At 37.7% G+C, this 22,951-nt stretch overlaps 1 long non-coding RNA gene across 2 annotated transcripts in view; it reads right to left on the bottom strand.

The window, feature by feature from the left end:
• The window catches only part of NPHP3-AS1 (NPHP3 antisense RNA 1), a 152,462-nt gene that overhangs the window by 109,538 nt on the left and 19,973 nt on the right, over positions 1–22,951 (bottom strand). Inside the window, exon 5 of one of the 2 annotated variants that reach the window (NR_152743.1) lies at positions 13,897–15,946. The exons of the other annotated variant lie outside the window; for it this stretch is intronic. This is a non-coding gene — a long non-coding RNA (NPHP3 antisense RNA 1). Of the gene's footprint in view, positions 1–13,896; positions 15,947–22,951 lie in introns of those variants that run through there. 2 annotated transcript variants of the gene reach the window in all.

The following is a 22,951-nucleotide window of genomic DNA, read 5'->3' as shown; positions in this document are numbered from 1 at the left end:
CAAATTCACACATAACAATATTAACTTTAAATGTAAATGGACTAAATGCTCCAATTAAAAGACACAGACTGGCAAATTGGATAAAGAGTCAAGACCCATTAGGGTGCTGTATTCAGGAAACCCATCTCACGTGCAGAGACATGCATAGGCTCAAAATAAAAGGATGGAGGAAGATCTACCAAGCAAATGGAAAACAAAAAATGGCAGGGGTTGCAATACTAGTCTCTGATAAAACAGACATTAAACCAACAAAGATCAAAAGAGACCAATAAGGGCATTACATAATGGTAAAGGGATCAATTCAACAAGAAGAGCTAACTATCCTAAATATATATGCACCCAATACAGGAGCACCCAGATTCATAAAGCAAGTCCTGACTGACCTACAAAGAGACTTAGACTCCCACACATTAATAATGGGAGACTTTAAAACCCCACTGTCAACATTAGACATATCAATGAGACAGAAGTTAACAAGGATACCCAGGAATTGAACTCAGCTCTGCACCAAGCAGACCTAATAGACATCTACAGAACTCTCCACCCCAAATCAACAGAATATACACTTTTTTCAGCACCACACCACACCTATTCCAAAATTGACCACATACTTGGAAGTAAAGCTCTCCTCAGCCAATGTAAAAGAACAGAAATTATAACAAACTATCTCTCAGACCACAGTGCAATCAAACTAGAACTCAAGATTAAGAATCTCACTCAAAACCGCTCAACTACGTGGAAACTGAACAACCTGCTCCTGAATGACTACTGGGTACATAACGAAATGAAGGCAGAAATAAAGATGTTCTTTGAAACCAATGAGAACAAAGACACAACATACCAGAATCTCTGGGACGCATTCAAAGCAGTGTGTAGAGGGAAATTTATAGCACTAAATGCCCACAAGAGAAAGCAGGAAAGATCCAAAATTGACACCCTAACATCACAATTAAAAGAACTAGACAAGCAAGAGCAAACACATTCAAAAGCTAGCAGAAGGCAAGAAATAACTAAAATCAGAGCAGAACTGAAGGAAATAGAGACACAAAAAACCCTTCAAAAAATTAATGAATCCAGGAGCTGGTTTTTTGAAAGGATCAACAAAATTGATAGACCGCTAGCAAGACTAATAAAGAAAAAAAGAGAGAAGAATCTAATAGATGCAATAAAAAATGATAAAGGGGATATCACCACCGATCCCACAGAAATACAAACTACCATCAGAGAATACTACAAACACCTCTACGCAAATAAACTAGAAAATCTAGAAGAAATGGATACATTCCTCGACACATACACTCTCCCAAGACTAAACTAGGAAGAAGTTGAATCTCTGAATAGACCAATAACAGGATCTGAAATTGTGGCAATAATCAATAGCTTACAAACCAAAAAGAGTCCAGGACCAGATGGATTCACAGCTGAATTCTACCAGAGGTACAAGGAGGAACTGGTACCATTCCTTCTGAAACTATTCCAATCAATAGAAAAAGAGGGAATCCTCCCTAACTCATTTTATGAGGCCAGCATCATTCTGATACCAAAGCCGGGCAGAGACACAACCAAAAAAGAGAATTTTAGACCACTATCCTTCATGAACATTGATGCAAAAATCCTCAATAAAATACTGGCAAAACGAACCCAGCAGCACATCAAAAAGCTTATCCACCATGATCAAGTGAGCTTCATCCCTGGGATGCAAGGCTGGTTCAATATACGCAAATCAATAAATGTAACCCAGCATATAAACAGAGCCAAAGACAAAAACCACATGATTATCTCAATAGATGCAGAAAAAGCCTTTGACAAAATGCAACAACCCTTCATGCTAAAAACTCTTAATAAATTAGGTTTTGATGGGATGTATTTCAAAATAATAAGAGCTATCTATGACAAACCCACAGCCAATATCATACTGAATGGGCAAAAACTGGAAGCATTCCCTTTGAAAACTGGCACAAGACAGGGATGCCCTCTCTCACCACTCCTATTCAACATAGTGTTGGATGTTCTGGCCAGGGCAATTAGGCAGGAGAAGGAAATAAAGGGTATTCAATTAGGAAAAGAGGAAGTCAAATTGTCCCTGTTTGCAGACGTCATGATTGTTTATCTAGAAAACCCCCTCGTCTCAGCCCAAAATCTCCTTAAGCTGATAAGCAACTTCAGCAAAGTCTCAGGATACAAAATCAATGTACATTCTTATACACCAGCAACAGACAAACAGAGAGCCAAATCATGAGTGAACTCCCATTCACAATTGCTTCAAAGAGAATAAAATATCTAGGAATCCAACTTACAAGGGATGTGAAGGACCTCTTCAAGGAGAACTATAAACCACTGCTCAAGGAAATAAAAGAGGATACAAACAAATGGAAGAACATTCCATGATCATGGGTAGGAAGAATCAATATCGTGAAAATGGCCATACTGCCCAAGGTAATTTACAGATTCAATGCCATCCCCATCAAGCTACCAATGACTTTCTTCACAGAATTGGAAAAAACTACTTTAAAGTTCATATGGAACCAAAAAAGAGCCCGCATCGCCAAGTCAATCCTAAGCCAAAAGAACAAAGCTGGAGGCATCACACTACCTGACTTCAAACTATACTACAAGGCTACAGTAACCAAAACAGCATGGTACTGGTACCAAAACACAGATATAGATCAATGGAACAGAACAGAGCCCTCAGAGATAACGCCGCATATCTACAACTATCTGATCTTTGACAAACCTGACAAAAACAAGCAATGGGGAAAGGATTCCCTATTTAATAAATGGTGCTGGGAAAACTGGCTAGCCATATGTAGAAAGCTGAAACTGGATCCGTTCCTTACACCTTATACAAAAATCAATTCAAGATGGATTAAAGACTTAAACGTTAGACCTAAAACCATAAAAACCCTAGAAGAAAACCTAGGCATTACCATTCAGGACATGGGCATGGGCAAGGACTTCATGTCTAAAACACCAAAAGCAATGGCAACAAAAGACAAAATTGACAAATGGGATCTAATTAAACTAAAGAGCTTCTGCACAGCAAAAGAAACTACCATCAGAGTGAACAGGCAACCTACAAAATGGGAGAAAATTTTCACAATCTACTCATCTGACAAAGGGCTAATATCCAGAATCTACGATGAAGTCAAACAAATTTACAAGAAAAAACAAACAACCCCATCAAAAAGTGGGCGAAGGACATGAACAGACACTTCTCAAAAGAAGACATTTATGCAGCCAAAAAACACATGAAGAAATGCTCATCATCACTGGCCATCAGAGAAATGCAAATCAAAACCACAATGAGATACCATCTCACACCAGTTAGAATGGCAATCATTAAAAGGTCAGGAAACAACAGGTGCTGGAGAGGATGTGGAGAAATAGGAACACTTTTACACTGTTGATGGGACTGTAAACTAGTTCAACCATTGTGGAAGTCAGTGTGGCGATTCCTCAGGGATCTAGAACTAGAAATACCATTTGACCCAGCCATCCCATTACTGGGTATATACCCAAAGGACTATAAATCATGCTGCTATAAAGACACATGCACACGTATGTTTATTGCGGCATTATTCACAATAGCAAAGACTTGGAACCAACCCAAATGTCCAACAATGATAGACTGGATTAAGAAATTGTGGCACACATACACCATGGAATACTATGCAGCCATAAAAAATGATGAGTTCATGTCCTTTGTAGGGACATGGATGAAATTGGAAAACATCATTCTCAGTAAACTATCGCAAGAACAAAAAACCAAGCACCGCATATTCTCACTCATAGGTGGGAATTGAACAATGAGATCACATGGACACAGGAAGGGGAATATCACACTCTGGGGACCGTTGTGGGGTGGGGGGAGGGGGGAGGGATAGCATTGGGAGATATACCTAATGCTAGATGACGAGTTAGTGGGTGCAGTGCACTAGCATGCCACATGTATACATATGTAACTAACCTGCACAATGTGCACATGTACCCTAAAACTTAAAGTATAATAAAAAAAAAGATGGAAAAAAAAAGAAAAAAAAAACTGTATGATGTATAGTATGTTACTCAGTGATAACATATTTTGCAAGTAGAACCAACAGATTTTACTTCTAGACCCAATGTTGAGTGTAAGAGAGAAGTAGGCAGTGTAAAGAGATGTCAAGAACACCAATGTTTCTGGCCTGAGTGACTGGAAGCGTGGCATTGCCGTGACCTAGGAGCAGGAAGGTTGCAGGAGCTGCTGGATGAAGGAGAACATCAGGAACTCATTTCTAGATATGTTACATTTTAGATGCCTATTAGTCATACAGAAGAAGGTGTCAAGTAGGCAGTTAGATATACAAGTTCAGGGAAGAGGTCCAGATTGGAGATATACATTCGGAAACCATCAATGAATAAACAATATTCGGACCCATAAGACTGGATGAGATTAGCCAAGGAGTGATTATAAAGAAAGAAGATTAAAACAGCTCTACTCAAAGGGTTGTTGTTTGTGGTAAGGTGTATGGGGGGGTGGTTTAGGTTAGATTACTGAGAGCTTTATTTATTGAGGGCAAATAGGTGCTAAGAGCCGTATATCCCTTAACTGATTCAATTTTCTAGGAAGTAAGTGATATTATTTTCTTCATATTTAAAAGTTTTTATATTTGCCCAAAGTCATAGAATTAGTAGAGATCACACAGGGATTTGAAACCACAACCCATGTTCTTAACCCATATACTTTATCTTATATATAAAATATAATTTTTATACATTATCTAATATATAAAAAACCTAATGCCAGTTGATCATTCTGACACATGATAAGCATTTGATTAAATGACCCTCCAATACTCTTATGAACTTGTGCCTTGAACAATAATTTGTTTGACAATGGCTTTGGGATCCTCACTTTCAAACATGCATGTTAATAATAATGACTCTTCTACCCAACCAAGGGCCAAATGAGGTAATATCTAAAGAAGTGGATCATAGATGATTCCATAGTTGTTAGAGAGCATTCTTGCTATCAATTCAAGATGAGTCTGGGTTTTGTGAATATGAGAGAATCCAATCAAATGGATTCTGCTCATGAAATACACACTCCAGTTGCACAGAAGTGTTGCATTTTAGAATAATGTTCCTTCTGTGAGATGTTTGACCTTGACTAGGCACTAATATTTCAACAACTGGCTGCTCATAAACTGGAATACAAACTGAAGTACTTGACTGAAGAAATAAAAATCGAGTATTTCCACAATGGCAAGGATTTTTTTTTAATCAGGATTTTGAATTTTTTTAATCACTTTCGCTATTGAAATATTATAATATTCAATTATCTTTTTAAATTTGTAAACCACTGTAAAAGCATTTTAGTTGTTTTCCCATTTCTTGATTTTAATGTTAGAAAATATTTCTGTACATAATACACACTCCCAGGATATTTGGGAATTTGACCCTATATCCCAAATGCCCAGCCTGTGTTTTTTAAGGAACAGGTAGACAACATATGGAATTTGAAGTTGGAAGACCATTGTTAAGTTCTGACACCTAAGTTTTTCAAAAGTTTATCCTAAAGCATGCTTTTTCTTCTCTTCCTACTATAGTACCTTCCTGCAGATATGGCAGGATGAGAGACTCAGACAGAAGACCTCTTTGGTCTTGGGTTACTTTACTGACCATCAATCAACAGAGTTATATCAGGAGCTTTCCACTCCAAACAGTACAAAATACAAAACACAGAATTATAACCAACTAAACATCCACTGCCCCCTAAGCACATGCTTATCTCTGAACCCCATACACTGAGATAAAAAATAAACAAAAGTTGTAGTCCTTGCTCCCTAGCAGCCACAATCTATGTCCAAAACCACGCATAGATAAAAAATAATTTTAAACAATTATAAACAACATTTAAACAAAAATAAACAACATAAGAATGACCGTGATTTAGTGTGTGATAAAAACTCAAAATGAGGAAAAATAATTATAGAATCATCAGGGAGGAGATCATGGAGGTTGACTGTAGGTAGCTGCATCCATTTGCAGTGTTTCATTTCCTACTAAAGGTTTTATCAGTTTCTGTAGCCACACCATTGAATAATCTTTGATAGAAATTTCACTGCTCTATGACTCAGTTTCTTCATATATCCATTTGTTGAGGTTGAGTTATTGTTTGTTTTTTTGTTTTGTTTGATTTTTGATACAGGGTCTTGTTCTGTTGCCCAGGCTGGAGTGCAGTGGCACAATCACTGGTCGCTGCCACCTCCACCTCCCTGGCCCATGTGATCCTCCTACCTCAGCCTCCTGAGTAGCTGGGATTAAGGGTGCATGCCACCATGCTCAATTAATTTTTGCATTTTTTCTGGAGACAAGGTTTCACTATGTTGCCCAGGCTAGTCTCAAACTCCTGGGCTCAAGCAATCCACCCACCTCAGCCTGCCAAATTGCTAGGATTAGAGGTGTGAGCCACTTTGAATATAACACTCCTTCTTTCTTGTAAAATTCACAGGGTGATAATTGGAAAACATCGAGAAATATCTCATTTTATTTTTGCAGATATATTCAAGGTGTTTTAATTAAATTATCTATCGTAGACATATCTATGATAATTAAAAGATGACACAGTGAGCCAAGTTATCTCTGCAGCCTAAACTTAAAGTAGACAAAAATAAAAATCTTATGACAAGGTAGATTCACACAGAATTGTGAATGAAGCTTACAGGTTTATAAACATTCCAGTCAGTATTTTTAATATACCAGAAGTGGGATGTTGAGAAATAAATCAGCAAAGTGTTTCTAACAAGTGAATAAGGGCTTTTTTTTCTTTCTTTCTTTTTTTTTGAGCATTAAGTTTTTGAGAAGTTGGGTAAAAATTAGTTAACTTTATTGCTGCCAGGAGCATTTGAACCATTAATTTTTCCCTGGATTAATTGGACGGCAGAAATGTCCTTGGTCAATTTCTAAGTGAAAGACATAGAAGGAAATAGAAGGAATTCTTCCTTCTAATTCAACCCATGAGATGGGCCTAAGAAATATTTGTCAAATAAATTAAAAAGTATATGAAAGAGTCAATCAATGTTAAAAAATAGACATCTATATACTGAAAATGATCTTGCTCTTTTGAGAGGAAATGATTTGTCGTTACTGTATTTGCTGAGCATTTTTTTTGTTATAAAATTGAAAGTACAGGATTCTAGAAATTTGCTTTGAAGTAGTTATCTAAGAGACAAACTATCAAACAGAACCTAGTGATATGAGTAAGCTCAACACTTGTCAATATTCTCAGGTCTACCTATAGCTGAGAACTGCAGAAACTCCTACTGATAAGCAGGAAGTTTTCATGACATTTAATAAGTAGCTCCAGCTGAAATAAAATGAAATGAGAAGTATAAGCTGGAGGCAGCCGAGAAGCAACAGGAAACTGATAATGCCCTTGGAAGAAGAGGTTACCATTAAAGGCCCCTCATCAAACAACTAAGCACAGATCCACAGGCAAATCGATAAACAGAACCAGACCTAACAGCCTGCTGGTGAATATGGTTCAAACAGACTAGATAAGATGGAAAGAAATTGACCAGCGTTGAGGATGCAATTTCCAGGAGTCATCTCTCCCTGTAGCTCAAAGAAGACTTAAGGAGATACTAGACATGGGGTAGAAGTTCAAGGCAGCTGTGTGTGGAGAGGAGTGAGGAGTTCTGTTCCAACAGGACCCTTAGGGGCTGTTGGAACTTCTAAGAGGAAATTTAGCACAGGCTGGTGCCAAAGAATTCACCTCCAAAATCTAAACCCAACATAGATTCCAAAGTTTGTGAGGGAAATTTAAATGTCCCCCAAAAGGCCAGGCATAGCCGTGGCCCAGAGTGCAGGGGATCCCTAAATAGACCCCCAATACCCAAAAACTTCCTTGACAGTTCCCCTCAGGAGCCTCAAAGAAACTACAAACTCAATGTATTAGAAACAAAAATTGATGATCATTTACTGAAAACCAGGTCTTCCACCTCCATTGCTTCCTAACTCAACAAATGGTATCCCCATTTCTCCAGTCTCATATCCAGAAAACTAGGCCTCACTCCTGGCCCCCTCTCCCCCACTCTCCAAACTGAACTTTCTTAAATATAACCATTACTCTCCACCTCCACCACGATGCTACTTTAGGCCACTCCCCTGGTTCATGTGGATTCCAAAGTAACCCCCTAACTAATCTCTCCCCAACCACCATCGCTCCCTACAATCTGTTTCAGCCTTGCAGCCAGAGTGGGCATCTTTCCAAAATGCAAATCTGACCATGTCAAACCACTACATACCACTACTCGAAGCCCTTTAAAGGCCTCTCATGGCTTTGGGGATAAAGAGGGAACTCCTTACCATGGTGTATGAAGGCCAGAATTCTCTGGCTCCTGCTCACATCTCCAGCTTCTTCTAGTTCCACACTGCCCCTCAGCAATCTGTTCTGGCCATTGCATCCTTCTTTTGGTTCTCTGCTGTCACTAAATCCCATCTTGCTAAAAGGTCTTTCTGTTAAGGAATTCCATCTCATCCTTTCAGACTTTAGGTCAAACAGTATCTCCCCCAGAGAGCCTTTCCTAATGTCTCTGGCCAGGTACCAGTAATCTCTCCTGTGCAGCTCTTCTCACAGTTGCAATTTTACACTGATACTCATAATTTGTTTTTATTACTATTCACATTCCTCCTAAACTCTCTAAATTCCATGAGTATAAGTTGAGCATCTGATTTTGCTCACCAGTGGACCCCTAGCTCTCAGAAGATAGCAAACAGGCCAAGCATTGTTGAAAATTAAATGAATGAATGGCACAGAAAGAAGCCAGAAAGACAGCCAGGGAACTCCACCTTCCTGCTTCTGGTCCCTCTTACACATGACTAGGAATAAATTTAAAACATGGCTTATTTTGTCCTGAATTGCTCCCTTTGCCCAGAAATTGTTTGGTGAACACCCTAAGATTTGACTGCAGCAGAGTGAGGTGCCAGGTTATAATTCAATCAGGACATAAGGCTTTAGGCACTGCCCAATCAGCATTTTTAGGGCTCATTGATGAAATGAGAATTTTCCCCCTATAATACAAGTGCAATTTTAATGACAGGAAATTTTTGAGATATGTAAAGTATAATTTTTTTGAAACCTAGGACAATGAAGAAAAATTTCTCATGATAGTTTTTATCATTATAGGCTAGAAATGAAAAAGATACTTTAAAGACCTTATTAGTGAGATAACAGAGAAGAATCATTGTTAGAAAAGATTTTTTAATGAAATGTAATATCTATATGTATTTTCTGCCAGAGAAGAAATTAATTTAAAAGTTTCCACAATAATCACTCATAAATGATAGTATAAGTGAAGGATCATAGGTTCTGTTTGCTTTAATTCACCTCTATTTATATGTTTCAGACCAAAACCCTCTTCTATCAAAGTTCTCAGATTTAATATATAATTTTCAAATAATCTACAATAAATATTTATAATATACATCCATACTACTTCAGTTCTAAAGGCAATGTTTGCTTATTTGTTTGTTATAATGAAATCTGTTCATTAGGTGTTTTTAGAAAACTTCAAAAGGTTTTGTTTCAAAGCACCTAAATTATTGAAAAATAAACAGACAAGCTTATATAGGCAAAACACATACACACACACATATGCACACACACTCATCCTCACAGCTTTAACATATTGTTAATAATACTAACAGAACTCTTTATTGAGGACTTAGTGCATGTCAACCACTGTGATGGACACTTGCTTCATGGATATTGTCTCCTACCACCCACTACTACTTTGTGAATCAGATTCTATTTCTGTTCCCATTTTATCATCCTTTTTATAATTCTGATAAAATATTAGGGCTTAAAAGGGTTAAAATTTTGTCCATTAACTATAATAACCTGGGTTCAATAAAACATTAGTCAATAAAACAAAGTGCTGGGATTACAGGCGTGAGCCACCGCGCCCGGCTGACTTGGTGGTCTTTGATTAATGTTCTGGGAATGGTTAGTGTTGGTTCCAATGGAATAGCCTTTCCTGGTTGCTGAATGTTTACAAGTGCAAATCTAAAGTTCAATCTGAATAGACATAATCCTCAGAACACTGGGTGATAGTTGCCACTCTAGGTGACCACTGTCATTCTGTTTGTGCTTCTATTTCCCATTAGAGTTGAGGTTAAATTCTTAAACAGTCTCATGTTAGGAAATGTTGTCTTCTCTAATTTAACAAAATGTTCCGTTTGGGGGCAGAATTTGCCAGGTAATTACCATAGAGTGGTCACCTTATTTTGATATTCGTCAGGAACTATCTTTATCCCTGCAGAGGGTATGTGTCCCCACTCCATGCTACTGCTCTGCACAGTGAAGACCCTTCATGCTGCTCTTGGTGCAGCCAACATCATTCTTTTCTGTAAGCATCATAAAACATAGGGCAAAAAAATAATTCTGTGGGATCAACTCACTGGACTGAGACACATGTCAAGTTAATGTCAAAGCTAGACTGGCAATGCACTAGGCTGTCATAATGTAGTCTGCATTTCTTTAATCATAAGTTAAGCAATCATTTTTCTGATTGCATAATTCTCTTTTGGGAGATATGATATGTACTTCAAAATCCCCTAGTGTTGTTAGAATGTTTTTCTCTTGACCTAGAAAGGGGAAACTATAAGAGGTTTCCTGCTGAATTAACTCCCAAAAAAGAACTGTTTGGTAAATTTAGTTATTTAACATATCTGTTCCTATTTCCATTAAGAAAAATGTGACAAAATGAAAACACCAAGTTTTACTTTTGCCCAGTGCTTCTATAGATGAAACTCATTCTTAACATTGGGTCATAGAGAGAACTCTGGACTTGGTGCCAGCAACTGAATTCTAGATATTGTGCCTTCTGCCATTTACCCTTTCAACCTGCTAAGGAACTTGAAGATACTCTCCCTCCACAGCTGAGCTTATTCACCTTCGAAATGGGCTTAGAGTGGAAAGCCTACACCAATTCATTTATGCCATCTATGCAAATATTCATTGGCCTAAGTTTTCAAAGAACAAACAATAAACACTTAATTTAAGAAAATGGAAAAGATGACTGCCAGTACTGATACTGTAGTTTACTCAATGATAATTTAATTAGAACACTTTAATATCCCATAAGAGTGTGTGACAAGAAAAAAAGAAAGAAAGAAAGAAAGAAAAACCAAGCAGCTTTGCTAAGCTGGGCTCACTGAGTTAAATACAGTTAAATATATTGACTGTTCCTCAACAATTCTGCACTCAATATCTTATTTCCTGATAAATTTTCAGAAAGATTCTCAAAAAGCTTTAGACTCTCTTATCTTCCAATAAGTCTATAGAGATACTTTTATGTGGATGAAACATGTTTTCAGGGGAAGTCACTAAATTAATAGCATTTAATTGAGTCCTTTTTTATTGATAGCTACTAAAACTATATGTTGTCCAAACAACAGTCCATCTAACAAGCTTTCCACACAGCCTACAGATAGTAGTTTATTTCACAAAGGTCAGTGGATCAGTTTCATTTGTCATGCTCTGCGGTAGTTAACAAGAGTGTTGATAGCATGTTTATCACTATATATGCTAGAACGTTGTGTTTTTCATTCATCATTTCAATTACTTACATAGTGTGGCATAACAAAGCACTGGCTTAAAATGCAGCAGTAAGTCTCCCTTCTGATTTAAAAGCTGTATGCATCTCTGACAGTTCTGAGCAATGCTTTATATGGCTTTGTTTACCTTGTTCTAAGATGAAATGACAATTCATTTTTCATAAATAATCTGAAGAGTCTTTGCAGCAGATATTTTTTCCTTTGAAGTAAATTTAAAAGAGGGCTTCAGATGTATACATATATTTTTTATTAAGTAGCAAATGGAAAATACCTCCAAAAGTTTTGCCCTGTGACATCTGGTAGAAAGTCTTGTAAAACAGAAGCCACTCTATAGGTAAATGACAAATATACTATCTAAAAGCCATAATTTATACCTCTTTTTGAACACACAATTTTCCACATGCTAGAGTTTGGATACTACTCTCCTATTACCTGTATATTGGAAACACAATCAAATCATTGTGTTAGAACAAGAAAGCATTAGGCTCTTGGATAATGGATCTTATGCTAAAAAGTACACATTTTGAAGTGTTCTGTTTTTCATTTTTGAGGTAGCTGTGCTTTGAATTTACTTACTAACTTCCTTTACTCAGTGTGGGAGCTATGGAAGAACTCCAGAGTAGAGAGCAAGAGATTTCAGGTTCTGGTCTGGGCCCTAGCATTCGTTTTTTGGAAATAACTAGTTAGTTAGTTAGTTTGGTTGATTGATTTTGAGACGGAGTCTCGCTCTGTCACCAGGCTGGAGTGAAGTGGCGTGATCTCAGCTCACTGCAACCTCCGCCTCCCAAGTTCAAGGGATTCTCCTCTCTCAGCCTCCGGAATAGCTGGGACTACAGGCACGCACCACCATATCCAGCTGATTTTTGTATTTTTAGTAGAGACGGGGTTTCACCATGTTGGCCAGGATGGTCTCAATCTCTTGACCTCGTGATCCACCCACCTCAGCCACCCAAAGTGCTGGGATTGCAGACATGAGCCACCGCGAGCTGTAAATAACTAGTTTTTGAGAAAATACTGAAATTTCTTGGGCCTCAGTTCTCAGAACTATAAAACTAGACAAGAAGGTCTTCAAATCTTCCAGGTCTATAAGGAATCTATGATTTCATAATCCAAAGAAAGCAACATGATATAAGTAAAACACTTTAAATTCATAAAGAACATTTGTGAATTCTGCTATTAACTAACAAGAGGGGTGAGGTTTCAGAAAGCATAGCTGTGTCTGATAAAGAAAGGGTATATTTAGAATGAATCCTTTTCATTAATTAAGGTGTCTTTCTTGTTTAATTTTCCCAGGGTATTACATTCAATACAATTACATCTGTTTTCAATAATAATATCTTTTCTTTTAGGGAATTGTGTTTTTAATATAATAAATTTAGTTTTACCATAAAAGTATAATAATGTATGCATTTTATTACATTTTTATCTCCTACAAATATATAAAAGGAAAGAAAATGGTTCTGTACTTTCCACATAACATGTATGCTAAAATAGCTTATAGGCATACTTTGCATTTAATTATACTGACATCATCTAGGAGTCTCATAAAATTTTAATATGTATCTGTATTTTATACATGGGGAAACAGGCAGAAGATAAACATGGGACCCGTTCTTGAACACAGTAATTGCTGAGCAGGCCAAAGATGAAAATTCTGACTCTACCATCCTGGTAAAAGGCATTATGCTTAGCTCACTATTGCTAGCTTTTCCTGTCTCTGAAATTTTCCTACTGATATATTTCCAAATGTCTTTATAGTACTGACAAAAATTTTGAGTGGGACCACTAACATCATCAAAAATCATAACCAAAAATCATAAGCAAAAACTAAGAATAATATGAGTATAAAATAAGACAAGTGGCTAATATACTTAGTAAATAAATTTCTGGAACTCATAGGAAATAAAAGATAGGACCCCTGTTGAAAAAATAATAGATAAGTGAGCATAGCATATGAACTGGCTATTCAAAAATTAGGAAAACAAATTTAATGAATCTATTTTAAAAGTCCAAACTCATTAATGATAAAAGAAATACAAACTGACACTGCAAGAAATACCTTCTTTAGTGTACCAAAGGAGAAAAGATTTGAAAGAGGGATAGTACTCAATGAGAGAATATGATGAGATAGCCATTTTCATATGCTGCTGGTGGGAATTTAAATGATCATATTCTCTTCTGGAAAGCATCTAGGGAAATAATATGTATTAAGAGACTTAAAGGTGTTCCATACTGTTTGGCCCAGCAATTCCCCTTCTAGGAATGCACCCAAAAGAAATAATCCAAAATGCACATACATATGCAAAAACAGATTTTTATTACAAGTATAACAGCAGAGGGAGAATAACCTAAATGTCCAAAAATAAAGGAACCATTAAATAAATTACAGCACATCTATAGCATAGAAAGTCACACAACTCCTAATATTATTTATGAAGTATCTTCAATGACATGTGAAAAGATTGATGAAATAGTGTTGGAGGTGGGAGAATATTACAAAGCTATATACACAATGTGATTTCAAGTATGTTAATATTAACATAGATCATAGGCCTAAACGTAAAAACTAAAACCATAAAGCCTTTCAAAGAAAATCAAGAATAGTGTTTTCATAATGTGAGGTAGGCAAAGATTTCTTAGGCAGAATGCAGTAAGTGATAACCGTAGGAAAAAAAATTTGATGAATTAGATTTCATTAAAATTTAAAATTTGTGTTCATCAAAAGATAGCATATATTTTTCTGTATGTCTGTGGCTTGTGTATTCTTCTAAATGCTATCTTCTCTTCTGCTATTTTCCTCTTCTTAGGAATAGGCAAGCCACAGACATACAGAAAATATCACAAATTATATGTCTACATGCAGAACATATAATGAATTACAACTTAGTAAGCAATTCCAAATAAGTAAAGGCACAGCAGACACTTCACAGAAAAAAATATACAAATGACCAATAAGCACATTAAAAAAGTGTTCCACATTATTAGTCATCAGGGATATTTAAGCTATAATTCCAATGAGATACCACTACACATTCACTAGAATGGGTGAAACATATTTGTAGTCTTTGACCCAGCAATTTCACTTCTAGGCATTTATCCAAGAGAAGTCATAACTCATGCCCACAAAAAGTCTTGTACAAGAATGTTCATAGCAGTTATAGTCACAAAAGCTGGAATCAACTCAAATGTCTACAACATGAGAATAGATCAATTATACTCACACGATGGAATACTATGGAACAATGAAAAGGAGTCATAGCACAGGTAAGTCTTACAGACAGAATACTGAATGAAAGAAACAAAAAAGACAACATACTGAATTATTTCATCTATATGAATTTCTAAAATAGGCAAAACTAATATAAGGGGGGAAAAACGAACAGTGGCTGCCTCAAGGGTGGGAAGAAGAGCATTAGAAATTGACTGGAAAGAGACACAAGAGAATTTCCTGGGTAGATTGCTATGCTTCCTATCATGCTAGTGTGCATATATTAGTCAGCTCAGGCTGCTTTACAAAATAGCAAAATACTGGGTGGATTATTTCTCACAGTTTTGGAGGTTGGAAAGTCCAAGATCAAGGTACAGCCATGGCAGGTATCAATCTGAGGCCTCTTACCTTGGCGTGTAGGCACTGCCGTCACACCATATGCTGACATGATCTCTTCTTTGTGCATGCACAGAAAGAGAGATCTCCGGCATCTCTTCCTCTCCTGATAAGAACATGAGCCCTATCAGATTAAGGCCCCATCCTATGACTTCACTTAACCATTATTACCTCCTTATAGACCCTGTCTCCAAATATAGTCACATTGGGAGTTAAGAATTCAGTATATGAATTATGGAGGGACACCATTTAGTCTGTAACAGTACAGTTACATAAGTAGATCCATTTGCCAATATTGTACGGTTAAGATTTGTATTTTCCATGATTATAAATTCTACCTTGAAAATTTTATTAAAGAATAATAAATGGAGGGTTGGAGAATGGGTATTAGAATAGACGAAAAAAATAACTGGTTGAAATAACTGTTTGAATGTTGAACAATTTTAAACTTGGGTGATATGTACATGGAGATTCATTATTCTATCTACTTTATATTTGTAATGATTCTATTTAATTTGTATATTTAAAATTTTAAAAAATAAAGTGTCAAATAAGCAAAGAAAGCAAAGTCAAATAAGCAAAGAAAAATGAATGTGTCAATATCAAAGATACTTTGTAGAGATGAAAATTGTGTGTGACATTTTTCTACATTGAGCTCCATCTTAGTTCGGGTCACATTATGCGTCTTGGGCTGGTCACATTATGCGTCTTGTGCAGGTCACCTACTGGGCTTAATTTATTCACCTAGAAAATAAATTCATTACTTAGATTTATTGAGTATTCATTAGGTGCAAGATACTAAGCACTATGGTGAGTTTAGCTCACACAATCACCAAAATCTTATTCAGCATTTAAATTCTATAACCATTTTTATGTCATGTATGCAGGTCACCCTCTCTTTTGCTGCATGTAATTCTCAAGATGTTTTGCCTTTATATCTTGTGTTAATTGTTACTACTTGTAGAGATAGGATTCAATAGGCCAGGACAACAGTCATCTTTCAGCAGATTTGTTTTCTACTAAAGTCTTTTGGTCTAGTGAAATTTCTAGAATAGTTATAGGGTTGAGAAAATAGATGACTATATGAAGAATTTTATGAAAAAACACGACTCTATTTCAAGCAATTAAATTAAGTATAAAAAAGCAAATATAGCTAAATAAATATATACATTTAAGAATTCAATAGATTATTCTAAAGACAAATCAAACTCAAATGACTACTAATGAAACTGAATATTTCAGTATAAAACTTCCAGACTGAAATACAGTGAGAACAAAAGAATGGAAAATTATTTTCCATTCTCTTATCTGTTTTCAGAAGATAAGAGACATATACAATACAGTGAAAAGGTCAAACATACATTTAACCAAAGAATCAGAATAGAAGGAGAGAGAAAATTGGGCAAAAACAATATTTAAAGAGCAATTGGCTGAGAATATGCAAAAATGATCAACCTAAAACATTGAGCTTTAGGCTAAAAAAAAAACTCTAAAATCCCAAACAGGATGCAAAAAAACATAGTCAAATTGCTGAAAATGAAAGATAAAGAAAAAAATTTAAAAAGGAACAGAAGAAAAAGGGGAACATTATCTTCAAGGGCACCACAATGAGGCTTATAGTTAACTATTAAATATAAGCAATGAAAGCTATGGAATCAATGGAATGACATGTTTAAAATGCTGAAAGAGGCTGGGTACAGTGGCTCACACCTGTAATCCCAGCACTTTGGGAGGCCAAGAGGGGTGGATCACCTGAGGTCAGGAGTTTGAGACCAGCCTGGCCAACATGGTGAAACTCCATCTCTATTAAAAATACAAAAATTGCCTGGGCTTGGTGACAGGCACCTGTAATTCCAGCTACTTGGGAAGCTGAGGAAGGAGAATTGCTTGAACCCGGGAGGTGGAGGTTGCAGTGAGCCAAGACCAAGCCATTGCACTCCACCCTGGGTGACAGAGTGAGACTCTGTCTCAAAAAAAAAAAAATGCTGAAAGATAAAACTGACAGCTTAGAATTTGATATTTAGCAAAAATAACCTTCAAAGGGTGAAATAAAAATGTTTAAAGACAAACAAAAATGGAGAGAATTTGTTCCTAGCAGACTTGGGCTAAAATAAAATACTAAGAGAGTTTTTTGGGTAAATAAAAAATGGCCCAAAAGTTCTGTTCCAAGATGGCTGAATAGGAACAACTATGGTCTGCAGCTCCCAGCGTGATCGACGAGGAAGACAGGTGATTTTTGCAATTCCAACTGAGGTACCTGGTTCATCTCATTGGGACTGGTTGGACAGTGGGTTCAGCCTATGGAGGGTGAGCTGAAGCAGGGCAGGGCATCACCTCACCTGGGAAGTGCAAGGGGTCAGGGGATTTCCCTTTCCTAGCCAAGGGAAGCAGTGACAGGCTGTACCTGGAAAAACGGGACACTCTTGCCCAAATACTGCACTTCTCCCATGGTCTTAGCAACCGGCAGACCAGGAAATTCTTTCCCATGCCTGGCTTGGCAGGTCCCACGCCCACAGAGCCTCGCTCACTGCTAGTGCAGCAGTCTGAGATCGACCTGCGAGGCAGCGGCCTGGCGGGGGGAGGGGCATCTGCCATTGCTGAGGGTTGAGTAGGTAAACAAAGTGGCCAGGAAGCTCAAACTGGGCAGAGCCCACCTCAGCTCAGCAAGGCCTACTGCCTCTATAGACCCCACCTCTGTGAGCAGGGCATACCTGAACAAAAGGTAGCAGAAACTTCTGCAGACTTAAACGTCCCTGCCTGACAGCTCTGAAGAGATCAGTCATTCTCCCAGCACGGCGTTTGAGCTCTGAGAATAGACAGACTGCCTCCTCAAGTGGATCCATGACGCCCGTGTAGCCTAACTGGGAGACACCTCCCAGTAGGAGCTGACAGACACCTCATACAGGCAGGTGCCCCTCTGGGACGAAGCTTCCAAGGATCAGGCAGCAATATTTGCTGTTCTGCAATCTTTGCTATTCTGCAGCCTCTGCTGGTGATACCCAGACAAACAGGGTCTGGAGTGGACCTCGAGCAAACTCCAACAGACCTGCAGCTGAGGGACCTGACTGTTAGAAGGAAAACTAACAAACAGAAAGGAATAGCACCAACATCAACAAAAAGGTTTTCTACAACAAAACGCCATCTGTAGGTCACCAACATCAAAGACCAAAGGTAGATAAAACCACAAAGATGGGGAGAAACCAGAGCAGAAAAGCTGAAAATTCTAAAAACCAGAGCACCTCTTCTCCTCCAAAGGATCACAGCTCCTTGCCAGCAACGGAACAAAACTGGACGGAGAATGCCTTTGACGAGTTGACAGAAGTAGGCTTCAGAAGGTTGGTAATAACAAACTTCTCTGAGCTAAAGGAGCATGTTCTAACCCATCACAAGGAAGCTAAAAACCTTGAAAAAAGGTTAGACAAATGTCTAACTAGAATAAACAGTGTAGAGAAGGCCTTAAATGACCTGATGGAGCAGAAAACCGTGGCACAAGAACTTCGTGATGCATGCACAAGCTTCAATACCCAATTTGATCAAGTGGAAGAAAGGATGTCAGTGATTGAAGATCAAATTAATGAAATGAAGTGAGAAGACAAGTTTAAAGAAAAAAGAGTAAAAAGAAATGAACAAAGCCTCCAAGAAATATGGGACTATGTGAAAAGACCAAATCTACATTCGATTGGTGTACCTGAAAGTGACGGGGAGAATGGAACCAAGTTGGAAAACACTCTGCAGGATATTATCCGGGAGAACTTCCCCAATCTAGCAAGGCAGGCCAAGATTGAAATTCCGGAAATACAGAGAGCACCACAAAGATACTCCTTGAGAAGAGCAACCCCGAGACACATAATTGTCAGATTCACCAAGGTGGAAATGAAGGAAAAAATGCTAAGGGTAGCCAGAGAGAAAGTTTGGATTACCCACAAAGGGAAGCCCATCAGACTAACAGCGGATCTCTCAGCAGAAACCTTACAAGCCAGAAGAGAGTAGGGGCCAATATTTAACATTCTTAAAGAAAAGAATGTTCAACCCAGAATCTCATATCCAGCCAAACTAAGCTTCATAAGTGAAGAAGAAAATAAAATCCTTTACAGACAAGCAAATGCCAAGAGATCTTGTCACCACCAGGCCTGCCTTACAAGAGATCGTGAAGGAAGCACTAAACATGGAAAGAAACAACTGGTACCAGCCACTGCAAAAACATGACAAATTGTGAAGACCATTAATGCTATGAAGAAACTGCATCAATTAATGGGCAAAATGACCAGCTAACATCATAATGACAGGATCAAATTCACCCATAACAATATTAACCTTAAATGTAAGTGGGCTAAATGTCCCCAATTAAAAGACACAGACTGGCAAATGGGATAAAGAGTCAAGACCCATCAGTGTGCTGTATTCAGAAGACCCATCTCACATGCAGAGACACACATAGGCTCAAAATAAAGGGATGGAGGAACATCTACCAAGCAAATGGAAAACAAAAAAAGGCAAGGGTTGCAATCCTAGTTTCTGATAAAACAGACTTTAAACCAACAAAGATCAAAAGAGACAAAGAAGGCCATTACAAAATGGTAAAGGGATCAATTCAAAACAAGAGCTAACTATCGTAAATATATATGCACCCAATACAGTAGCACCCAGATTCATAAAGCAAGTCCTTAGAGACCTACAAAAGGACTTAGACTCCCACACAATAATAGTGGGAGACTTTAACACCCCATGGTCAATATTAGACAGATCAATGAGACAGAAGGTTAACAAGGATATCCAGGACTTGAACTCAGCTCTGCACCAAGTGGATCTAATAGATATCTACAGAACTCTCCACCCCAAATCAACAGAATATACATTCTTCTCAGCACCACATCACACTTATTCTAAAACTGACCACATAATTGGAAGTAAAGCACTCCTCAGCAAATGTAAAAGAACAGAAATCACAACAAACTGTTTCTCAGACCACAGTGCAATCAAATTAGAACTCAGGATTAAGAAACTCACTCAAAACCACACAACTACACGGAAATAGAACAACCTGCTCCTAAATGACTACTGCGTAAATAACGAAATGAAGGCAGAAATAAAAATGTTCTTTGAAACCAATGAGAACAAAGACACAACGTACCAGAATCTCTGGGACACATTTAAAGCTGTGTGTAGAGGGAAATTTATAGCACTAAATGCCCACAAGAGAAAGTGTAGGAAAGATCTAAAATTGACACCCTAACATCACAATTAAAAGAACTAGAGAAGCAAGAGCAAACAAATTCAAAAGCTAGCAGAAGACAAGAAATAACTAAGATCAGAGCAGAACTGAGGGAGATAGAGACACAAAAAACCCTTCAAAAAAATCAATACATCCAGGAGCTGGTTTTTTGAAAAGATCAACAAAATTGATAGACCACTAGCAAGACTAATAAAGAAGAAAAGAGAGAAGAATCAAATAGATGCAATAAAAAATGATAAAGGGGATATCACCACCGATCCCACAGAAATACAAACTACCATCAGAGAATACTACAAACACCTCTACGCAAATAAACTAGAAAATCTAGAAGAAATGGATAAATTCCTGGACACATACACCCTCTCAAGACTAAACCAGGAAGAAGTTGAATCTCTGAATAGACCAATAACAGGCTCTGAAGTTGAGGCAATAATTAATAGCTTACCAACCAAAAGAAGTCCAGGACCAGACGGATTCAGAGCCAAATTCTACCAGAGGTACAAAGAGGAGCTGGTACCATTCCTTCTGAAACTATTCCAAACAATAGAAAAAGAGGGAATCCTCCCTAACTCATTTTATGAGGACAGCATCATCCTGATACCAAAGCCTGGTAGAGACACAACAAAAAAAGAGAATTTTAGACCAATATCCCTGATGAACATAGATATGAAAATCCTCAATAAAATACTGGCAAACTGAATCCAGCAGCACATCAAAAAACTTATCCACCATGATCAAGTGAAGTGGGCTTCATCCCTGGGATGCAAGGCTGGTTGAATATATACAAATCAATCAACATAATCCATCACATAAACAGTACCAATGACGAAAACCACATGATTATCTCAATAGATGCAGAAAAAGCCTTCGACAAAATTCAACACCCCTTCATGCTAAAAACTCTCAATAAACTAGGTATTGATGGAACGTATCTCAAAATAATAAGAGCTATTTATGACAAACCCACAGCCAATATCATACTGAATGGGCAAAAACTGGAAGCATTCCCTTTGAAAACTGGCACAAGACAAGGATGCCATCTCTCACCACTCCAATTCAATAAAGTGTTGGAAGTTCTGGCCAGGGCAATTAGGCAAGAGACAAAAATAAAGGGTATTCAATTAGGAAAAGAGGAAGTCAAATCGTCCCTGTTTGCAGATGACATGATTGTATATTTAGAAAACCCCATCGTCTCAGCCCAAAATCTCCTTAAGCTGATAAGCAACTTCAGCAAAGTCTCAGGATACAAAATCAATGTGCAAAAAACACAAGCATTCTTATACCCCAATAACAGACAGCGAGCCAACTCATGAGTGAACTCCCATTCACAATTGCTACAAACAGAATAAAATACCTAGGAATCCAACTTACAAGGGATGTGAAGGACCTCTTCAAGGAGAACTACAAACCACTGCTCAACGAAATAAAAGAGGACACAAACAAATGGAAGAACATTCTATGCTCATGGACAGGAAGAAACAACGTCATGAAAATGGCCACACTGCCCAAGGTAATTTATAGATTCAATGCCATCCCCATCAAGCTACCAATGACTTTCTTCACAGAATTGGAGAAAACTACTTTGAAGTTCATATGGAACCAAAAAAGAGCCCACATTGCCAAGACAATCCTAAGCGAAAAGAACAAAGCTGGAGGCATCATGCTACCTGACTTCAAACTATACTTTAAGGCTACAGTAACCAAAGCAGCATGGTACTGGTGCCAAAACAGAGATATAGACCAATGGAACAGAACAGAGGCCTCAGAAATAACACCACACATCTACAACCATCTGATCTTTGACAAACCTGACAAAAACAAGAAATGGGGAAAGGATTCCCTCTTTAATAAATGGTGCTGGGAAAACTGGCTAGCCATATGTAGAAAGCTGAAACTGGATCCCTTCCTTACACCTTACACAAAAATTAATTCAAGATGGATTAAAGACTTAAATGTTAGACCTAAAACCATAAAAACCCTAGAAGAAAACCTAGGCAATGCCATTCAGGACATAGGCATGGGCAAGGACTTCATGACTAAAACACCAAAAGCAATGGCAACAAAAGCCAAAATTGACAAATGGGATCTAATTAAACTAAAGAGCTTCTGCATGGCAAAAGAAACTCCCATCGGAGTGAACAGGCAACTTACAGAATGGGAGAAAATTTTTGCAATCTACCCATCTGACAAAGGGCTAATATCCAGAATCTACAAAGAACTTAAACAAACGTACAAGAAAAAAACAAACAACCCCATCGAAAAGTTGGCAAAGGAAATGAACAGACACCTCTCAAAAGAAGACATTTATGCAGCCAACAGACACAAGAAAAAATGCTCATCATCACTGGTCATCAGAGAAATGCAAATCAAAACCACAAGAGATATCATCTCACACCAGTCAGAATGGCAATCATTAAAAAGTCAGGAAACAACAGATGCTGGAGAGGATGTGGAGAAATAGGAACATTTTTACACTGTTGGTGGGAGTGTAAACTAGTTCAACCACTGTGGAAGAC

The sequence above is a fragment of the Homo sapiens genome, chromosome 3, assembly GCF_000001405.40.
Source record: "Homo sapiens chromosome 3, GRCh38.p14 Primary Assembly".
Lineage (NCBI taxonomy): Eukaryota > Metazoa > Chordata > Mammalia > Primates > Hominidae > Homo > Homo sapiens.
Note: the sequence above shows the minus strand (reverse complement) of the source record. Positions and strands in the feature narration are given on the sequence as shown.